This window comes from Homo sapiens, chromosome 18, assembly GCF_000001405.40.
Source record: "Homo sapiens chromosome 18, GRCh38.p14 Primary Assembly".
Lineage (NCBI taxonomy): Eukaryota > Metazoa > Chordata > Mammalia > Primates > Hominidae > Homo > Homo sapiens.
In genome coordinates, this window is record NC_000018.10 from 45,503,204 (window position 1) to 45,521,993 (window position 18,790).

Below are 18,790 nucleotides of genomic sequence, written 5' to 3' on the forward strand. Positions count from 1 at the left end.
TTGTTTTTAGGATATTAGGGCCCTTGTCTAAGCCCTGGGATTTTTACTTAGAGTCAGGCTTTGAGATTAGGGAACAGGCTATGGTGGGCTTCAGGGAACAAGCTCTACAAGGGGTCTCTCCACGTTATGTACATTAACCAAAATGGGGTCATCCCATGCTCTGTGCTTACTGAGCAAGTTTCCCTTCAGCACTGCCACATCCCTCCCTAGCCAATGCTTAACAAATCACACCAACGTGACTAACTCAGTGTCTGGTTCTTATTTTTCCTCCTTCCCTTTTCTGTTTGCCATTGTAACCCTCCTGTCTTAATGCTTTTCTGCCTCTTCAGGAATTTTGACTACTCCATCAAGCTTTAGTCTCTGCAAAACACATTCCTATTAGTCAGTTCTCAGACACAATCTCCACTTTTTCACCTTATGCAAAGCTCCACGTACTCTTTCTTGGCAACTCTAGTTAAAATGCTAAATTACAGAGGTGGGCAGACCCTATTGATAGTAGAGAGACTGGTGCCCCTCTCTTCTTGCCTACCTTTGCTAATGGCTTAAAAATAAATCTCTCCAATACCTCACCTGCTGATCTGCTGTGGCTTAATCAGCCTGGTAGATTCAGAGTAATTATCCCTGAATTATCAAAGATACCACTGGAAGTAGGTAAAACAGAGAGGAGTTTATCTATTTTGCAGATTCTGAACCTCAGGATCAAAGATTCAGCTGACTTACCCAAAGTTAGTAACAGAGCCCCTTCCAGAACCATCGCTTCCTGTCTCCTGGTCTAATGGTCATAAGTCCTTATTTCTCTCTGATCTTGCTCTTGCTATGGCTAAAGTGCACTCACAAGGGTGACTGATGGGTCCTCAGTAAGATGGAAGGGAAGGAGGAGGGAATCTTTGTTTTCATCTCCTGGAATGTTCCAATAGTTCCAGCTGTGGCTACAGTTCATGACTGCAGGGATTTTTTGCTTGTTTATTTTCTTTTGAAAGATTCTATCTAGATTCCGGCAAACTTTCCAGCAAACAATACTTTGAGGCAGCTGGAAAAGGGAGGGCTCTTCCTTCCCTGTCATATGTCCTTAAAATAACAACAGGGGAGGAAAGCCCACAGTGTCCCCTTAAGGTACCAAGGATAGCATAATGAATTTGCTAATCATAAACGGTTTGCTCCTGAGTTCCAAACGATATGGTAATGAATTGCCAGTGAACCATTTGCCAGACCACAGCCATATGGTAAGGGATGGGACCCTGGTACATAGTAGCCATACTGTGGGTTTGTCTGCATAACTGTTCCCATCCAGAACCTTCCCATCTCTATGGCTGCTAGTTAATATCCTGTTTAAGCTTCTGTTGTCAAAACTAATCATTTGTTTGCCTTATGTGGATAAGTCTTTCTCTTATCTGGTCAGTAATAGTGACCATTAAGAAATGAAAATGTGTTTGAATCCACATAAAAATATTTGAGTTACACATCTTGCATTACCCAGTGGATACCTGGGCCTGGCAGCACTAGCCTGTGGAAGCAACTCAATCCAGGAACTTATTAAAACCAACAAATTATCATCTTCCCCTGCAGAAACACAAATGAGGATTCAGTTCATTAATTTCCCCATTGTTCTTCCTTTCTGTGGACATTAGTTGGATCTTTAGCTATAAAATGTGGATTTTATTATAATAGCGATGATAATAAAAATAATTAGGAGAAGAAGGAGATTCATTTATCAGAATAAGGCACCCTTTCAAATACACACTCCCTCTTGATTTGATGAGATGGTGAGATTTGGGAAAGAATCTGCTGTTTCATTGCTGCCTTTGTTGGTTTCCTTAGCAGTTACCCAATGGGGCTAGAAAGAAAGAGAGTTAGGAAAAGAAAAATAAAAGTAAAGTGACTCTAGGATCAAAGGGAAATGAGGACCTATGATGAGTAAACAGCAAAGCAAATCGGAAAGAAACAATTTTATGAGGGATTAGAAGTACAGCAGGCTAGGGAGAGGCTGTTTGGATAGTCCAGTGTGCATCCAGTGTCTTACATGCCTCACCACCACCACCACCAAGGGCAGACAGGGAGATGGGGCAGGGATTGTCCCTCTGTCCTCCTACCCCCTGCCACATCCTTGTGACAGCCTTTGACAGTCTTTTTCCACCAAGACTGCCTGCTATCCATGTAAATTCATTTTCCTTTCATAACGACGTTGAAGAATATGGGAAAATGGAACCAAAAAAGAGGGAAGACGGAGTGGGTGAGGAGCCCACAGGGTAATATTCCCTGAGAATGCTCCTGGGTTTCTTGCTTCCTATGGGACCCAGCAGGAACAATCACTCTTTCACAACTTTCTGAGTTTTCCCTGCATCCCCACATACCTCACCCCAGAAACAGCCAATGTGCTAATTGCAAGGTCAGGCCAGTGTCTTACGTGGCATCTGGGACATGGTATAATGCAAACAGATTTCCATATGTGGTCCCTTCCAGTAGTCCTCGGCCCCCCGAGCACCCACACCACGTGAGAACTCAGCTTCTCAGGAGACGCTGACATTTTAATTGGAAGCATCTGTTGCCTTTTCTGTTATTTTTGGCCAGGTTTGGTTTATTTGTATGAGCCGATGTTTGTGTACAGACCCGCCTACACGTTTCACAAAGCCTAGCCTTGCCTCCTCTCTCATCTTCTTCTCAAGTAGCTGACTGGGATGTGTGACGGGGCCACTTGCCTTCACCCTGTCCATTCTGATGTGGATTTCTCTCCGCAGAACTAGGGTGGGGAGGAAGGGCCAAGCTGAAAACTTCAGAGAAGCACCTTCTTGAAAAAGATGTTCTGAGGGAGGGAGGCTCACCGCTTCCTGCTTACTGCAAAGTGTCTGCTAGCCTCCCAGCAGGAGATTCTGCTTCCAGCTTCAAGGCTGCAGCCAGCTTTGAGGCTGCAGGGGGACCTTGAAGGTGTCAGGTCCAGTCCTGTACCCCTCCCAGCTCTGACTCACACACTAACTGAGGCCCCGTCCTCAAGTCTCTCAGGAGTCCTGCTCCCACTAGCCTTTGAGACCTGCCCTTCACTTTATCCTCACTTAGAAAACCCAACCTTCTTCTCCCCATCAAACCCAACCACCTCCACAGAGCCTTCTTCTAGTTGTCCAGTTAGCCTGATCACACACCAGCAGAGCCACTATCTGTCAGTAATCCAGTGGCAACTGGGTGTTTGCTGAATTCCGAGCTGTAGTGGGTTGAATCGTGCCCCATCAAAAAAATAGTTCTACACAGAACCTTGGAATGTGAATTTATTTGGAATAAGAGTTTTTTGCAGACAAGTTAAGGCTCTCCAAATGATATAATCCTAGATAGGGCGGACCCAAAAATCCAATAATGGAAGAGACAGAAAAAGACATGAGAGAGAGAAACAAAGGGCATGTGAAGACAGGCAGAAATTGGAGTGATGCCACCACAAGCCAAGGAATGCCAGGAGCCACCAGAAGTCAGAAGTGGCCAGAAAATTTTTTCTCTAGTGCCTCCACAGGGAGCATGGCCCTGCCAACACCTTAGTTGTGGATTTCTAGCTTCAGAACTGTGAAAGAATGAATTTCTCTTATGCTGAAGTACCGAGTTTATTGGTAATTTGTCACAGCAGTCCTAAGAAACTGATATTCAAGCCCTGGGCTAGGGTACCATGGTGTACAAAATCCTAGGAATGAAGGGGAACTGGAATCTGCCCAGACGTAAAGTGAGAGGACCTGACTTTCCTCCCCTGAGGGGAACCTGACTTACCCCCTCCTCAAGGGGATATCACCACTCACCAGCTATATACCCTGGAGGAGGTCACTTGAGCTCCCTGTCTTCACTGTCCTTTCCTGTACATTGAAGGAGATGGACAGGACAAGGTCTACGAATCCCTACAGCTCCAGTGTTGTCTTTTTTGTGTAAGAAAGGGAGATTATAACTACACAAGGTGATGACATCATAACCCCGGGTCCCCACTGTGAGAGGCACACTGAAATGAGCACTACAGACCCTAGGAGGGGAGGGTTCAAGTAGAGTCAGGGAAGGTCCTAGGGGAGGTGGTCTCTGAACTCAAGGGCAGGTTGCCAAAGAGGAGGAGTTGGGAGAGCATTGATGACCGGCAGAGAAGTCAATGCGCAGAGGTCAGATGAGAGAGTGACAAGGAGGAAACAAGGCAGGCTGGAGCAGAGAGGACCACAGGAGCACCATGTCATGCTTCACCCAGAAATCAGTCTTTGGTAAGCTCTGCCCCATAACCAGGGTCTAGCATTGAGGGAAGTGCTTTCCTCCATGGGAGAGACCAGGCTGACCCTCAGGTCACACACATCCACATTAAATAAATATGGATTGAACACTCACTGTCACCCTGCAGTCCTGGGCACTAAAGAATCTGTGGGGACACAGACTCTGTCCTCAGTGGGCATACAATCTGATGGTGGAGGCAGCCTATTGAGCATGTAACTGTGTTCAGGGAGGTAGGTATCTTAGGCAGAAAAATGCAGAGGAGCTTCTGCTGCCGTTTGGGGAGCGGACATCTTCCTGGAAGAAGGGACTTTTAAGCTACTTGAGAAATGAATAAAATTGGCCAGTTGACAAGAATGGTGAGAGTGTCCCTGTAACTCTCCCTCATGTGAGTCCCATCAGACTCTCTTTGCTTACTGCAAAGTAAAATAAGGAAGCAGAAACATACAACAGGAATAAATAGGAACTGTGAGAAAAGGTAAGAAGAACCAACTAGAAAAACATGGCAATCTGGGGCCATCTGGCAATGGGGCAAATATCCCTGAACAAACAAGAGCCTGCCAGGTACCACTCCAATCCTATAATGCAAGCTTAAAATAGATTCCATGTACTCTGCTTATCTCAAAGGTAAGAAAGACTGGAATACTTAGAAACATCATCATCCAACATGCTCAACAGAGGCATCTCAGAACTCTGAAAAATTGTTCTGCGTAGATCTCATGTTCTAGCTGGGGCTGACCTCCTGAGTCTTCCTGTGTTGACTTGTTTACAGGCTAGTCTTCACTTGGGTTCTTGCTGTGACTCTTCTCTTCCTCTATTAGTATTTGGAAGAGGGCAGGGCCTTTGATACGGTTTGATTGTATCCCCATCCAAATCTCATCTTGAATTCCCATGTGTTGTGGGACGGAACCCAGTGGGAGATCATTAAATCATGAGAGCAGGTCTTTCCCATGCTGTTCTTGTGATAGTGAATAAGTCTCATGAGATCTGATGATTTTAAAAAGGGGAGTTTCCCTACACAAGCTCTCTTCTCTTGTCTACCGCCATGTGACATGTGCCTTTCACCTTCTGCCATGATCGTGAGGCTTCCTTAGCCATGTGGAACTGTAACTCCATTAAACCTCTTTGTTATGTAAATTGCCCAGTCTCAGGTATGTCTTTATCGTCAGTGTGAAAACAGACTAATACAGCCTTCATCTTTTCTTTGCTTGCCAGCCTACTAATGGGTGCTCAACTTTCTACAAGATGTTTCTGCAGAATGGCCAGTGTCCTTTAGATGGGTCACCCAATCTTCTGGAATCCTCCATTCTGATGGGCCACTGGAAGCTGTCTGACACAGGCCCAGTCCCTCAACTGGACTTTATCAAAGGGCTACTAGGTTCAAGGCATCATGCACACACAAAAATGCCTACTCCAGGGAATTAACAAACTGGTCTTGCAAATGAGACAAAAATATGTAAACATGTAAACAGAATTACAAATTATCAAGATATTGGGGGGTGACAGATGACCTTTGAGTTGATTTCATGGATAACAATGCCAGCATCCCCCAAACCTTCAGATCCATCTGAGGCAAAATGCTAGGATAGAGGACCCATGGCCCCAAACTCAGGGACTTCAGATGGTCATGACTCTATCCTGGAGCCTCCTGTATAGCCAGTGGTATTGCAAGCCTTTGGAAGAGTCCAAGAAGTAGAAGGAAAATGAAGACTCTATGTGTCCCTTCATGGGATACCTTGCCCAGTCTTACCCAACTCATCTGTGGATTCAACTGTTTCCATCACATCCCTCTTTGTAGATAGGCACACAAGAGGAGATGGACCAAATCTCCCTGTCTCTGCCTAAATTTACCTCAGTCATCTCCTCCCTATATATATATATCTCTCTCTCTGTCTTTCTGGCCATCAATATCTGCTTGTCTCTCTTTCAAATTCTCCATAAGTTTTCTTCCTGTGGTTTTCTCTCTCGCTACCTCTGTCTTTCTTTCTCAGTCTCTATCTGTTTCTGTTACATACACATAAATGTTTTTCAGGGAAACCTACTTCTCTTTTCTCAGTAAGCCTCAGTTCTAGTTTATTAGCATGAAAGCAATCAAGGTTTAAAAGAAAAAAAAGACATTTACAGAAAAGCCCAGATATGGTTGTGACAGCATTTCAGGTCATGGAGGGGACAGGGAAAGAAAAATAAACTGGGCAGAATGGAAAAGTTGAGACTGGGAAGCCAGGTCACATGGTGTCGGCAATCTGCCACTCAAGTGGTCGCCACTCTGCACCCTGTGGGCCCCCATCCCTGCCTCCCTTGGATGGTTCTTGAGGGAGGTTCCAGGGGCCAAAGCCCTTGAGAAGTTCCATTGCGATGAACTTTGTTTGTAGAGATGTCTGACCCAGGGCCCCACACTGTGACTTCTCTATGGAATGCAGAGTTCTGTAGGTCACGGACTGGACCTCTGCTGCATAGAGAAAGGAACATTGCTGGTTCCATGTTAGAACCTGAGAGACCTTGGAGAGGATCCCATCCATCCTCTGCCTAACAGAAGGGGAACCTGAAATCTGAGTGGAGGGGTTGCCCATAATCCTACCCCCTGTTAGGGGCAGAGCCAAGCCCCAAACATTTCTCCCTCACCTCCTCACTGTCCTTCCAAGGTTCCAGGCTCAGTTTCTTCTTTGATGGACAACTTCAAGTGAGACACTTAACCTCTTTGAGCCTCCGAGTTCTTATCTGTAAAATTAGGGGCATGGAAGTGAGCATTTTGGATGGCTTCTTACAGGTGCTAAATGTTTTTTATAATTATTCTCACACTTAAATGTGACAATAGATTTGTGTTTTACAGTGGTCATTACAATTCCCATGTGATAGGGGAGAAAAAAATGAGCCTGTCTGAGATAAAGTAAACTCCTTAAGATCATGCAACTTATAGTGATTTATCTGTGCCCCCAAGCCATACTAAGCGTAGGTTTGATGGAAAATGAGAAGGCATATAGAACAAAAGACCAGGCTCTCCTATACTCCCAGGCCCCTCTATGCGGCTCCTACTGTGGAGGCAGGGAGTACCCCCAGTCCAACCCTGCCACCAGTGGAGTGGTGCCCACAGGAGGACAGCCTGGCCCAATCTTTCATGGAATGTCACAATATTGCCTTCCCCTTTGCCTGCTGATCAGGGTCCTGCCTCCCGAAAGTGATCTAAGCCAATGCCCCACCCAGAGGCAGAATCAAAAGGCATTCAGCCATGCTCCCCATACTTGGGTTTCTACCCACCGAGAGAGGCATAGAGATGCCCAAAGCCCCTCTCAGAACAGCCAGCTGATCCCGTCATTGAGAGAACTTGTTTGGAGAGGTGACAGTTCCCTAGCTTGTTCTTGTCCTGCTTACACAGCAGAGCAGCATTTCCAGCTGGCATTTGCAAAGGCCACTCACCTCACTTTGCATTCAGGACTCTTCCCCACCAGCCAATGCTCAGAGCGGCTGCACTGTTAAATGTGTCTGTACACAGCACTCACACACATGCACACCAAATGCTGTTATTTTTAATAAGACTTCTTTTTCCCCCTCCTCTCCTGAAAATCCAAGAGAGTCCTCTGCAGGGCAGAGGCCAAGAGGTCAGCCATCCACATCATATGATTTGCAGACAGCAGAAAGGTCCCCATTCCTAGCTCCTGTGTTAACTCCCCTTTTATTGTTGTTTTTTTTTCTTTTTTCCCAGCCTTCTGCAAGGGGCATTATCTGGCCCAGACATCTTTGCACTTGACACATCCTTGGCACTTGTTTCTATTTAAAGTAGCACTTTATTATGTATAGCCTTACATTATTATTTCACTATTTACTCTGTGAGAAAATTTCCTCCCCAACTAGGTTATAGCTCCTATGGGGAGAATATTGATACACCTCTATATTTTGGGGCAGTGGATCTCTGAAATTCTAGAATTTATATAGTAGCTTAAACATTAATTTTTCAGACTCTCTGACATCACTCAGGAGTGGATCCTTTTGGGATCCACTAGAAGACCCTTGTCCCCTAAGTCGACTCTTACTCCTCCCTTAAGGTCTCCTTGCAATCTGTTCTTTATTATATCCCTTCCCTGGGCTCACTCCCACCACCCTTAGTACACACCTTACAGATTACCTTATCACAGTGGTTGATATTTAGCTGTTAAATGTCTAGCTGTCTCTCCATTTGGAAAGTGAGCACCTTGAAAGGTGAGTAAGTGCCATAACCAGGAAAAGCTTGCAGGATGAGCTGGGGTCTCAGGTGTATGTGTTTGAGAAAGAAGGAAGTTGAAACTACATACAAAGGGAAGAGGAAACTAACCCAAGTGTCCCAATTTCTACCCATAGGAGTTCTTCCATTTGTGTCAAGTACTGCTCCCTGGAAGGGTCCTTATAAAAAGTACTTTGGATGAAGAGTACAGATCCCAAGGTGCTTGGTGATACCACATAGGGTTCAAGCCTCCATCTGCACACCAGGGAGTTCACTTTAGGAGATAAAGCACTATGGCAAGAAAATATTCAGAGGAGGAGCAGTGTTTGAAGACAGGTAGACTGTGGCATCAAGGCATTGACCCTGAAGAAAGAGGAAGGTAGAAAAATGGGCTCTCAGCTCTCAGGGAAGGAACCTAGGCAGAGCCCAGGCAAACAGACTAAAGTTTGAGGTGCTATTCCAAGCCCAAATTGGAATAAAGATGCTATATGGGTAAACCAAGGCAGGAGCCCAGATGCATGTACAGGAGCACATTTCAGCAGAAAGAGAAATGCTTGGGAACTATATACCAATATCCATGGAGCATCCCTGGGCAACAGATGAATTCCAGTCCCCATCAGATGGTGGAGGTGAGGGTCCCAAATGAGTTCTTGTCCTCTTCAGATATAGCTCAGGAATTAGGAGTGAACCAGACTAGCATGGAAGGAGTGGAGAAAAAAAAATCAAAGTCAGATGGGCGATACCTAGGCCAGGGAGAAGAGTCCTTTCTCAGTTTTACACTGCCATACCCAGAAAATTGCCTGATGCATACTGAAGAGTCAAGAGAAATTCGTTGGAGTACAGTTTAAAAGAGAGAGAGGCTTCCAGATGCCTTTCCATCATTTTGGCAGGTAACTCCCTGCTTTCCTGGTCAGCCCTTGCTTACTGGAACCCCTTCATCCAGTGCCACAGAGAAAGTGCAATTTCCCTCCTGCACTGCTGCTCATTACCAAGAAAAATGACAGCTTGATGGTCTTCCAGCAAGAGAGAACAATCTATTTCATTTGGAAGTTTGGTAATTGATTAGGGCAATAGATTTTCTTCACGGCAGCCTCCCCGGGAGAGTCTGGTGAGGGCACAAGATTTACATACATCAGACTCATTCTGCCTGCAAAATCTGTCTTAGAGGATGAGATCACAAGGCCATTACTGGATTGGGGGGAGCTGGAAGGGTGGGAAGGCAGAGCGGAATTCCCAGACATCATTTCTCAGCAACCAGTACCGTGGCTAGTTCAGAATGTTTTCAAGTACTTTCTGTCAGTAACTTGCAGGTAAATCCAAGGTTCTGTCTACTCAGGGTGTGATCAAGCAAGTGATTCTTTGGGAGTCTCTGTTGACCAAGCTTCTGAATAGATGGGCCCCAGAAACTTACTATTAGCCTATGTCACCACCAACAATGGCTACCCTATTCTGTGGCTGCACCACAGCCTCAGTGAAGCAGTATCCTGAGAGTTCATATCATGGGGTTACCTTGAAGGTCATCAGGGCCAGCTTTTAGCAAACACTTGTTCTCTACTCAGACTTCTTCTGGAGCATATCTTCATCTTATATACCACCCTCTCCCCAGATTTTACTTCTAACTGTTTCTGTGTGCCTCTGGATCAAAATCTGCTGTACAAAATCTTTCAAACCTGTCATTTACCTTATGTGAGTATAAATCATGATGTTCCCTTTCTCAGAGAAACATTCATTTTAAGCCTTATCGCCCAATATGTGATAAAGAAATTTCCAGCATCGTTGTATTGATGAGAAGTTAGAGGGAATGTATACCAAGAACAAAGCATATTTTTTAATGCTACTTACATTGGAATGATACTACACACTCCATTGTGTAATGGCACTTCATTTCTTTGGCCACAACACCACCTTCTAAATTAGTTGAGGCCAATAGGACTGTAATCAGAAGTTGACTATGATACATAGAAGTTCGAATGTAGCCCCAAATGTAAAGGTTGAAGGGTAAGAGTGTTTAGATTTTATCCATATATACATAAAGAATTTGTGGATGAACTGTGCCTCTATTGCCTGGCTCCAGATGTCCCAGCATTCTCAATAAGAGTTAGGGCTGTGGTCCCACAAATAGTTGGGACACAAAGACATATCTCTGGGGTGACCTGAGGATATGAGATACTCTGTTTCATTCTTACTGTACCGACTCAGACCCATAGTGGAGGAAGTTTCTCTCTTGATCAGCCAAAAATGGACCCAGTTTCCACAGGGACCCCACAGACTAAGGAAACATCTCCACCTCCTTCTCCACCCAACACACAGAGTGCTCTGCCTGGAATAGTGAAAAATTCTGCCATTCATGTTAATTTTCAGGTAGAGATCCTACCCTTTCTAACTTACAGTTGCTAGTTTCATCTCTGGAACTAAAAAGTTGGTCCTAATCAAACTAATAGAATCAGCCAGCAGATGGAAAAAAACATTTTTTCCAAGGATGATATCATGGAAGTTGTATTAGGCCATTCTTACACTGCTATAAAGACATGCCTGAGACTGGGTAATTTACAAGGAAAAGAGGTTTAATCAGCTCATGGTTCTGCAGGCCGTACAGGCTTCTGCTTCTGGGGAGGCCTCAGGAAACTTACAATCATAGTGGAAAGTGAAGGAGAAGCAGGCACATCTTCACATGACTGACGGGAGAGAGATAGCATGCAAAGGGGAAGATGCTACACACTTTCAAACAACCAGATCTTGTGAAAACTCCACCATGAGACAACACTACAGGAAAGGTGCTAAACTATTAGAAACCACCCCCATGATCTAATCACCTCCCACAAGGCCCCAACTCCAACATTGGGAATTATAATTCAGTATGAGATTTGGGTGGGGACATAGAGCCAAACCATATCAGAGCTAGAAAATCACTTAAAACTGGCCTTGTAGATGAACTTGATGTATTAGAAAACTCTGTGGATCTATTAGAAAATGCTGTGGATGCCTACATTAGGTGAGCATCCTAACGTAGACCTGACCTATATTCCTTGGTAAGCATAGGGTAATATTAAGAGGCATACCTAGCAATCAGCAAACTTTGTTGAGCATCTATGATGTGCAAGCTTTCATGCTATGAAGGATACAAAGATGAGTAAAGCCCAACTTATACCCTCGAAACGTAGATGGGGAAACACCCATGTAGTAACTACCACAAACTCACTTTTGCTTATACTGCACTGGGTGGCTATTAATATATCCATTAATATCCATAGAAATGTTAATTGAAATATTAATAAATTGATTTATTTCTACCTATCATGGCTATATTCTTTCCCCTGTTCCACATTTTGTCAAATAGAAATGCAAGTACCAAGTTCAATGATTCTCTTGAAACATAATAAGAAAATAAGAACCCCATGAAGCATCCTGACAGCACTGACTTTTCCTAGAATAGGTGGAGGAGAACATGCTGACTGAGCAGACTTAGCATACCACTCACACACATGTTAAAGAGGCCTGCAGTATGTACCTGGCATGACAACAGTGTCTGACACTAAGTAGTTTGTGGATAAATATTTGTTCAAATGAATGATTAAAAATGGAAGACTTCAAGTGTTTGTAATACAACTATGAAATCTGGATATTATGGTTTTAAAGTAACTGCTTTGTCATATTGACTGTAGCCTCACTGAGCTAAAATGAATTTTAAGGAGCAATGATTATAGAGAGTGTAGACAGTGTCAATTTGGCATCAAAAACATGGGTTTTAAGCTTGATTAATACTAACTAGCTGGGTTGGCCTTGGGCAGGTCTTTTAATCTTTCTGAGCTTCCATTTTCTCATTAAGTAGACTGCGAAATGGAGCACAAAGGAATCAACAGAACCAGTGGGGGTTAAGTTCGGATTGGGGGCACCAGGAGACACAATGCTCTGAGAAAGAAGAGATCAGCACGTGGGCTGCTGTGAGCATAGAAAGCTTCACATGGGGATGAAACTTGAGCCTTGAAAGGTGAGCAGGATCTAGAAAAGAAGAGGAGGTCCCACTCTGCAGTCAGGAAGGGAAGAAAAAAAGCACGCATAGCCCAGCCAACACTCGGGCAACCTGTGCAACTCATCCCTGTGGATGTAGACACATTGGGCCCGGGAGAGCAGGCCTGGGCAAAGGAACGAATTGGTGCAATCATTGGGTTTGTACTTCAGAAAACCATGCATCACAAGAAACAGAACCAGAGAAAGAAGGATTCAGACAAGCTGTTCTTGTAAATGAAGCAGGGCCTGCTTTGCATGCCTGCATGCCCTCCTTGAAGTTATCCATGGAACATAGCTTCAAATACCCAAGCCATTGTGGTAACTATAGGAATTACTAACTGTAAGAACTCAAGTTGATAGTGTGAAGTTTTAGTATTAATAACTATTTGAGTTAATCATTAATATTTGTACCTAAATTTCTTTTCTGAAATTCTCCATACAAAACTTAATCTTTGAACTTTTAACTGGAGAGGAGCTCTGCTATACCAAGCATAAGGCTGTGTTGATGCTGAGGTCAGAAAGAAGAAAATATAAACTCTCCATGATGTATTGAATATATAGTTTTTCCTTTATTTCCTTTCTCTCCCCCCTCACTACTGTTTCCCTTCCTTCCTCCCTTCCATTCTTTCCTCCCTCCCTTCTTCCTTTCCTTCCTTTCTCTTTCTTTCAGCCAAAAGTTAATGTCATAGAATGGAAAGGTCACTTAGGTAACAGTTTGAAGACCTTGGTCCCCCTCCCAAATTTGCCGCTAAAATAAGTGTGTGAACCTGGCCAAGTCACTCTATTTCTCTGGCCTTCAGCTTTCTCATTTGTAAAAGGAAGGTCCTAGACAGATCTGTGATTTTTCAAGTGCTGCCCCAGGGACGAGAGTGGGAGAGAAAGATAAGAGATGGGCTTTCTGAATCTCTGTACACTCCTCAACCCAAAGAAGCAAACTTCTTACCTTTTATATGCAGGGGAGGAGATTCCATAATCATTCATTTGAAAAGAACACAGGGTTCTTTTTGCTGCTTAATAGGAAAAAAATTAGAAACCCACTGGCCTAGTTGATCTGGGCAGCACTTTCCCACTCCAGCATTGTAGGTTTCTCCTGTTCATTGATTTCTGCCACGTGAAAGACATTGTATCTGATGCTATAAGTAAAGATGGGAGAAGTACAAGCATTGGCTCCAAGGAGCTCACTCAGCTTCAAGATTAACCAGTGGGGGTTAAGTTAGTGTTGGGGGCACCAGGAGACACACTGCTCTGTGAAGAAATAGATCAGAATGGGCTGCTGTGAGCAGAGAAAGCTTCACATGGGAGTGGAACTTGAGCCTTGAAAGGTGAACAGTATCTGGAAGAGAAGAGAAAGCACTGTGCAGACAGAGAGAGCTATTTCTTCTCTCTCCAGGCTCTCACTGTGTGCTGTCTGTGAACTGGGCACAAGGACACAGAGGTGAATGAGACTGGCAGGGTCCCTGCTCTCCTGGAGCACAGTTCGGTGAGATGTGCACAACTCACCGAAGGACACAGAGGGCTCAGGGCCCACCTCCATCTTGTGGGCTTCATGATGAAGACAGAGCTTTTCCCACAGATTCATCTGCCTCTGGTTAGCTTAGGGAAGGCTGCCTGAGTCAGCAGCAGGGCAGACTAATAACCTCCCGAAGTAACTTCTCATGAGACGCGGCCCTGGCTGATTGAGTTTGGCAGGAATTCCGAGACATTCCAATATCTGCACAAAGGGCAGACCCTCGCCCCAGCCAGGCTGACCTCAGCCTCCCCCCTCCCAATAGATAATTACGCCTCTAGGTCTCCAAAGCAAGCCCTGTTGTGGGTAACCCTTGGAAGTGACATGCTGTTTTCTGATGGGAATTAAAAGGTCTAGAGTGGCCAAAAGGCTTCTCAGCAGGAGGGTTTGTTATTCTTTTAATTGTGGCATTAAACCTCAGGCTGGAATTGCATCAACATTCATGCTGCTATCCAGCTTGCCGAATTTGCTTCTTTTGACAGACTTTATCATGGCCAGGTCCAGTCTCACCCGGCGGTGAAGGCGGCCACCAATGCTTGGCTGGAAGTTGTAAATCTTGGAACTCGAGGAACTCCCTACCCTGACCCTCCCTCCAGGACTTTCTGTCCTTTTGGCTGATGCCTGGAATTCTACCTTTGGGACTTCAGGGCATTCCACTGAAAACTTTAATCTCTCTTTCCCTGGGAGAAAATATTAGCTTAAGTTCATAGGGGTACAAAAAATAGAAGTTCACTGGTTATAGAGAACAATTAGAAAACAAACAGCTTGCTCAAGGGGGCAAGGGATATAAGAATAAGGTGCTTATTGTAACTGCTGTAGAAGATTGTTGAACTGGAATTTACAAATCAATGCCATATCTTAACTTTGACATCTTAAATTAGATATCTTAACTCCATAATAATAATAATAACTAATAATTAACACAACATCTAGATTCAGTCTGTTTCCTACTTCATTTTATGGAATGGAATAGGATATATATTTCCCAATTGCAATCCTATTCTGTAAAAGAACTGTTACCTAACAAAGCCTACATCACACAGTTCCGGGTTGCTCCAAGGCCTCTGAAACATCTTTGAGATTGTCCATCTCATTTCACAGCTGATGCAAACAGAGTCCCTGTTCCCCAAGTGAGACACACTTCACCTTTCATACCATTAAATACTATGATTTTTGAATGACTAATGATCCTCTTTAAAAATTACACATCCATTGTTTACATGTACCCAGTGTCAAACTCCATCTAACTCCCCTATGATAGCATTTGTCTTCATTCATTCATTCATTCATTCATTCATTCAGCCTATTTACCAACTGTCAAGTACAGCATAGACACTGGTGGAAAGCAAAGGTCCCAAACCAAGTTCACAGTCCAGAGGTGAAATAGACATTAGTAAGTAAAACAGCCCTGTAACTGTTGGAGCTGAGTCATGTCAGAGAGAACCCAGAGGAAGAGACTTGTTAACTTGCCTGGGGTCGCTGGAAAAGCTTTACAGAGGAGTGGCTCAAACTGCTGGTGTCTGGACTTGGCCACTGATAGTCAGGGATAAAGACCAGAGTTGGCCCTTCCTCTGTGTTTTCAGAAAAAGACGGATAATCTAGGTGACTAAAATTGAATTTTTTTTCTAATTCTTTTCTTAGAAAAAAAGAGCAGGAGGACCTCAGGTTTTCTGATACCTCTTCAACAGAGGGCCACCTTAGCTCCTTCTCCCTGGAGAGCAAAGGCCAGGGCAAGCAAGCTGTTTTGCACAGGTGTCAGGGAAAACGAGATGTGTCCACTGTGATTCTGGTTAAGCTGAGAGCCCCAGCTGGCAAGGGGCCAGCCTGGTGGCATGCAAGTAATATAATACACAATCTAAATGCAAGCATTTGTGGCCTGTTTGGGGAATCAATTAACAATAAGCATATACATCCATTTACAAAATAGCAGTGTGCTAGAGTATACCCACACTGTAATTGGAAACTAAAATAATACCAGGAGGAATAATCATTTTAAAAAATCCTCCAAAAAGCCAAGAGTAATACTAAGAAAATAAAATAAAAAATGTCGTCCATCTGCAGAGTTATATCCTTAGGGAAGCACTGCAGAGCGCACTAACAAGCAACTGAATCCATGTATAAATGAACAGAAACCCATGAAGGCAACAGAAGGCAAGGTGGGGTGTGGAAGGAAAAAAATATCCCTGGTAGATTAGCTACCCCTGAATCAAGCAGAGTTCCATTTGATTGCTTCTTGTAGGAGATGGAATGCTCCAAGGCCAGGCATGACCCTCAGGGGAAATTATTCTTTATCTGCCCATTCACAGAGTCTCCAGTGTTGGTTTTGAACTTGGATCCTCCTTTCCCACTTCAGCACCCCCATGCCCATGCGTGAGCATGAGCACACACACATACACCTCACTCACTCACCCCTGGGGGAATCCCAGACACATAATTTACTGTTAGCTGCTAGCTGAGGAAGATTCCCTGCCAGAGAACTAATTGGAAAAAGGGGGCAGAGTAAGCACGAAGAAGGAGGAGAGAGCTCATATAAACCCCAACTTGTGCACTTGGCAATCAAAAAGGGGCTAAGCCAAAGATCTCCTGTCTGATAATTTTAAGAAATTAAGCTAAAGGCTCAGAGAAATTCCACCCGTGCTGTTACTCCGGGATCTGCTCATCCCCTGGAGCCTGTGGTTTAGCAGCCCTTTGTGAGATCGCTCTGGGTTCTACACTAAGGGGAGGTCTCTGAAGGAAACCAGAATCAGATGGGACTCCTACACTAGGAATTAACAGGCTGGTGCCACCAACTACCTGGCAGTGGTATCAGGCTACTCTGGGTGTTAGCAGGCCCTTGCATACATGGATGGGAGCTAGCAGCTACTGCCACTTTCACACACCAGAAATCACAGCTGTGGTGTGCTTAGATCTCTTTGGGCCAATGGGCATGTCTTGTACGTACCATTTGGTTGAAGTACGTAGAGGGTGGAAACCATATTTGGTATGTCTTTAGAAAGTTAAAAAGATGCTTTAGCCATATTCTTGGAATGAGTCATTCAACCATGTTGGACTCAGTACCTAGCACTATTCCCTGCTTCAGTGCAGAGAATCAAGATGTGGTTTTTGCAGAAGCAGAGCCCATCATCAAATAGATATTGAGTCCCTAACAGGTATAAAGCCTCAACTAAAATCTCAAAAATTCCTTTCAGGAATATGAGTGTGCTACATGTGACTGTTGGCAGATCACCTGATGGAGACTTAGGATAATGGGTGGTGCAGGCTGCGAGTCCATGGGCATGCCTTAAACACACCCTTACCTTATGTCCCCCTGTCCCTGACCCAGTGCCCGCAACTGGGCTTTTACATGGTACTAAGCACTAAATAAATACCTTTTGAATGATGGACTAAATGCATTTAAAGTTGCATTTATTTCTGTTCTTTTTGATTAAAATGTATGGAATAAACTTTGCATGTCAAATGAGCTAGATCTTTATAGAGAAGTGTTTTTCTGGGCGTTTCCATCCTAAGGAGGTATGGCCCATGAGACAAGAAGCAACATGGTGTCCTGGAAAGAGCATGAAATTTCAGCATCAGAAAATGTGGGTTCTCACACATCTAGCTGTGTGACCTAGGGCAGTTACCTCAACCTCTGGGAACATCTATTTCTTCCTCTCTAGACCAGAGAGAACAATCTATCTAATTTGTGGGTTACCATGAGAAGATAAGGGAAAGGCTTACTAAGTGGCAAAGCCCAGGGCATATACAAGCTGTTAGGATCATGATTATTATTATGACCGAAAGTCTGCACAGGTGACAGGGCCTTGGTGATTGGGTGCTTCCCCAGCAGTGGGAATGGGTGGGCCTTCCTCCTCCCACCAGGTCCTCTGAGATACTCTAGAATCTTAACAGCTGGCCCAGGCAAGAGTAGTGTCTATGACCATCCAACAGGCCCACCTATGGCCTGGAAACATGACCTGCACCTCCCATCACCTCAGTTCTACATCAAGTGACCTGTCAACAGTCATATTTTTTAAGGGAATTTCTGAGAGCTTAGTTGAGGCTTTAACCTGATAGGGACTCAATGCCAGTTTGATGATGGGCTTTGCTTCTACATCATCTTGATTATCCTTACTGATGGAGAGTTGTGCTAGGCACTGAGTCCGACAGGGTTAAATGACTCATTCCAAGCTTACAGCCAAAGCATACTTGCAGTTTCTGGCATTGTGCTAAGGACTACTGGGAATGCAGAATACATAACTCAGAAAGAGTGCACAGGGTTAGGGATAGAGACTCACACAAGACAGACACTCAGTAACTGGATAGTACCATAAGCAGGATACAGCTCAGGGACCAGAGAGAGTAACACAAGAAAGGTACAAAAAAGACTTGGAAAATTGAGAGAAGCCAGAAAGAAGAGAGAGGACATTTAGATATGAGGTATAACTTTGGAAAAGACCTTCAGAAAGTAACCCTGTTTCCTTTTTCATTTTTTTTCTTTTTTAAATAAAATTACCTTTCGAGGAAACAGATTTACATATGAGATTATGTCTGGCTCAAGTGACCTTTAAAATCCATTGTATTCCATAAACCAGCAAGTCGCAAGATTTAATGTGCATCAGAATCACTTGGTGAGTGTGTCAAAAATGCAGGTTCCCACAGAATCAGAATCTCTGGAGCTGGCCCTCATAAATGCATTTGTTCTAAACAGCCAAGTGATTCTGGGACTCAAGCTGAGGGAGGCAGGAAGGGGTGTGGCTGATTGTGAGTGGGCATATTCATCCAGAAAGTAAGAGGTATTTTCCCAGAGGCCTATGGGGTAACTGGCCTTAGACATCGTTACTCTTTGAGCTATGTTTCATTTGAGGGCAGCTTGCCATGGAGGAAAG

At 44.2% G+C, this 18,790-nt stretch overlaps 1 protein-coding gene and 1 long non-coding RNA gene across 8 annotated transcripts in view; one reads left to right on the top strand and one right to left on the bottom strand.

The window, feature by feature from the left end:
- SLC14A2-AS1 (SLC14A2 antisense RNA 1) overlaps window positions 1-3,860 on the bottom strand; it is a 142,177-nt gene extending 138,317 nt beyond the window's left edge. Inside the window, exon 1 of one of the 3 annotated variants that reach the window (XR_007066352.1) lies at window positions 721-944. This is a non-coding gene — a long non-coding RNA (SLC14A2 antisense RNA 1). Of the gene's footprint in view, window positions 1-570; window positions 623-720; window positions 945-3,770 lie in introns of those variants that run through there. The other 2 variants (XR_007066350.1, XR_007066351.1) reach the window with 2 other exon arrangements.
- SLC14A2 (solute carrier family 14 member 2) overlaps window positions 1-18,790 on the top strand; it is a 515,726-nt gene that overhangs the window by 335,241 nt on the left and 161,695 nt on the right. The gene's annotated exons all lie outside the window — the stretch shown is intronic.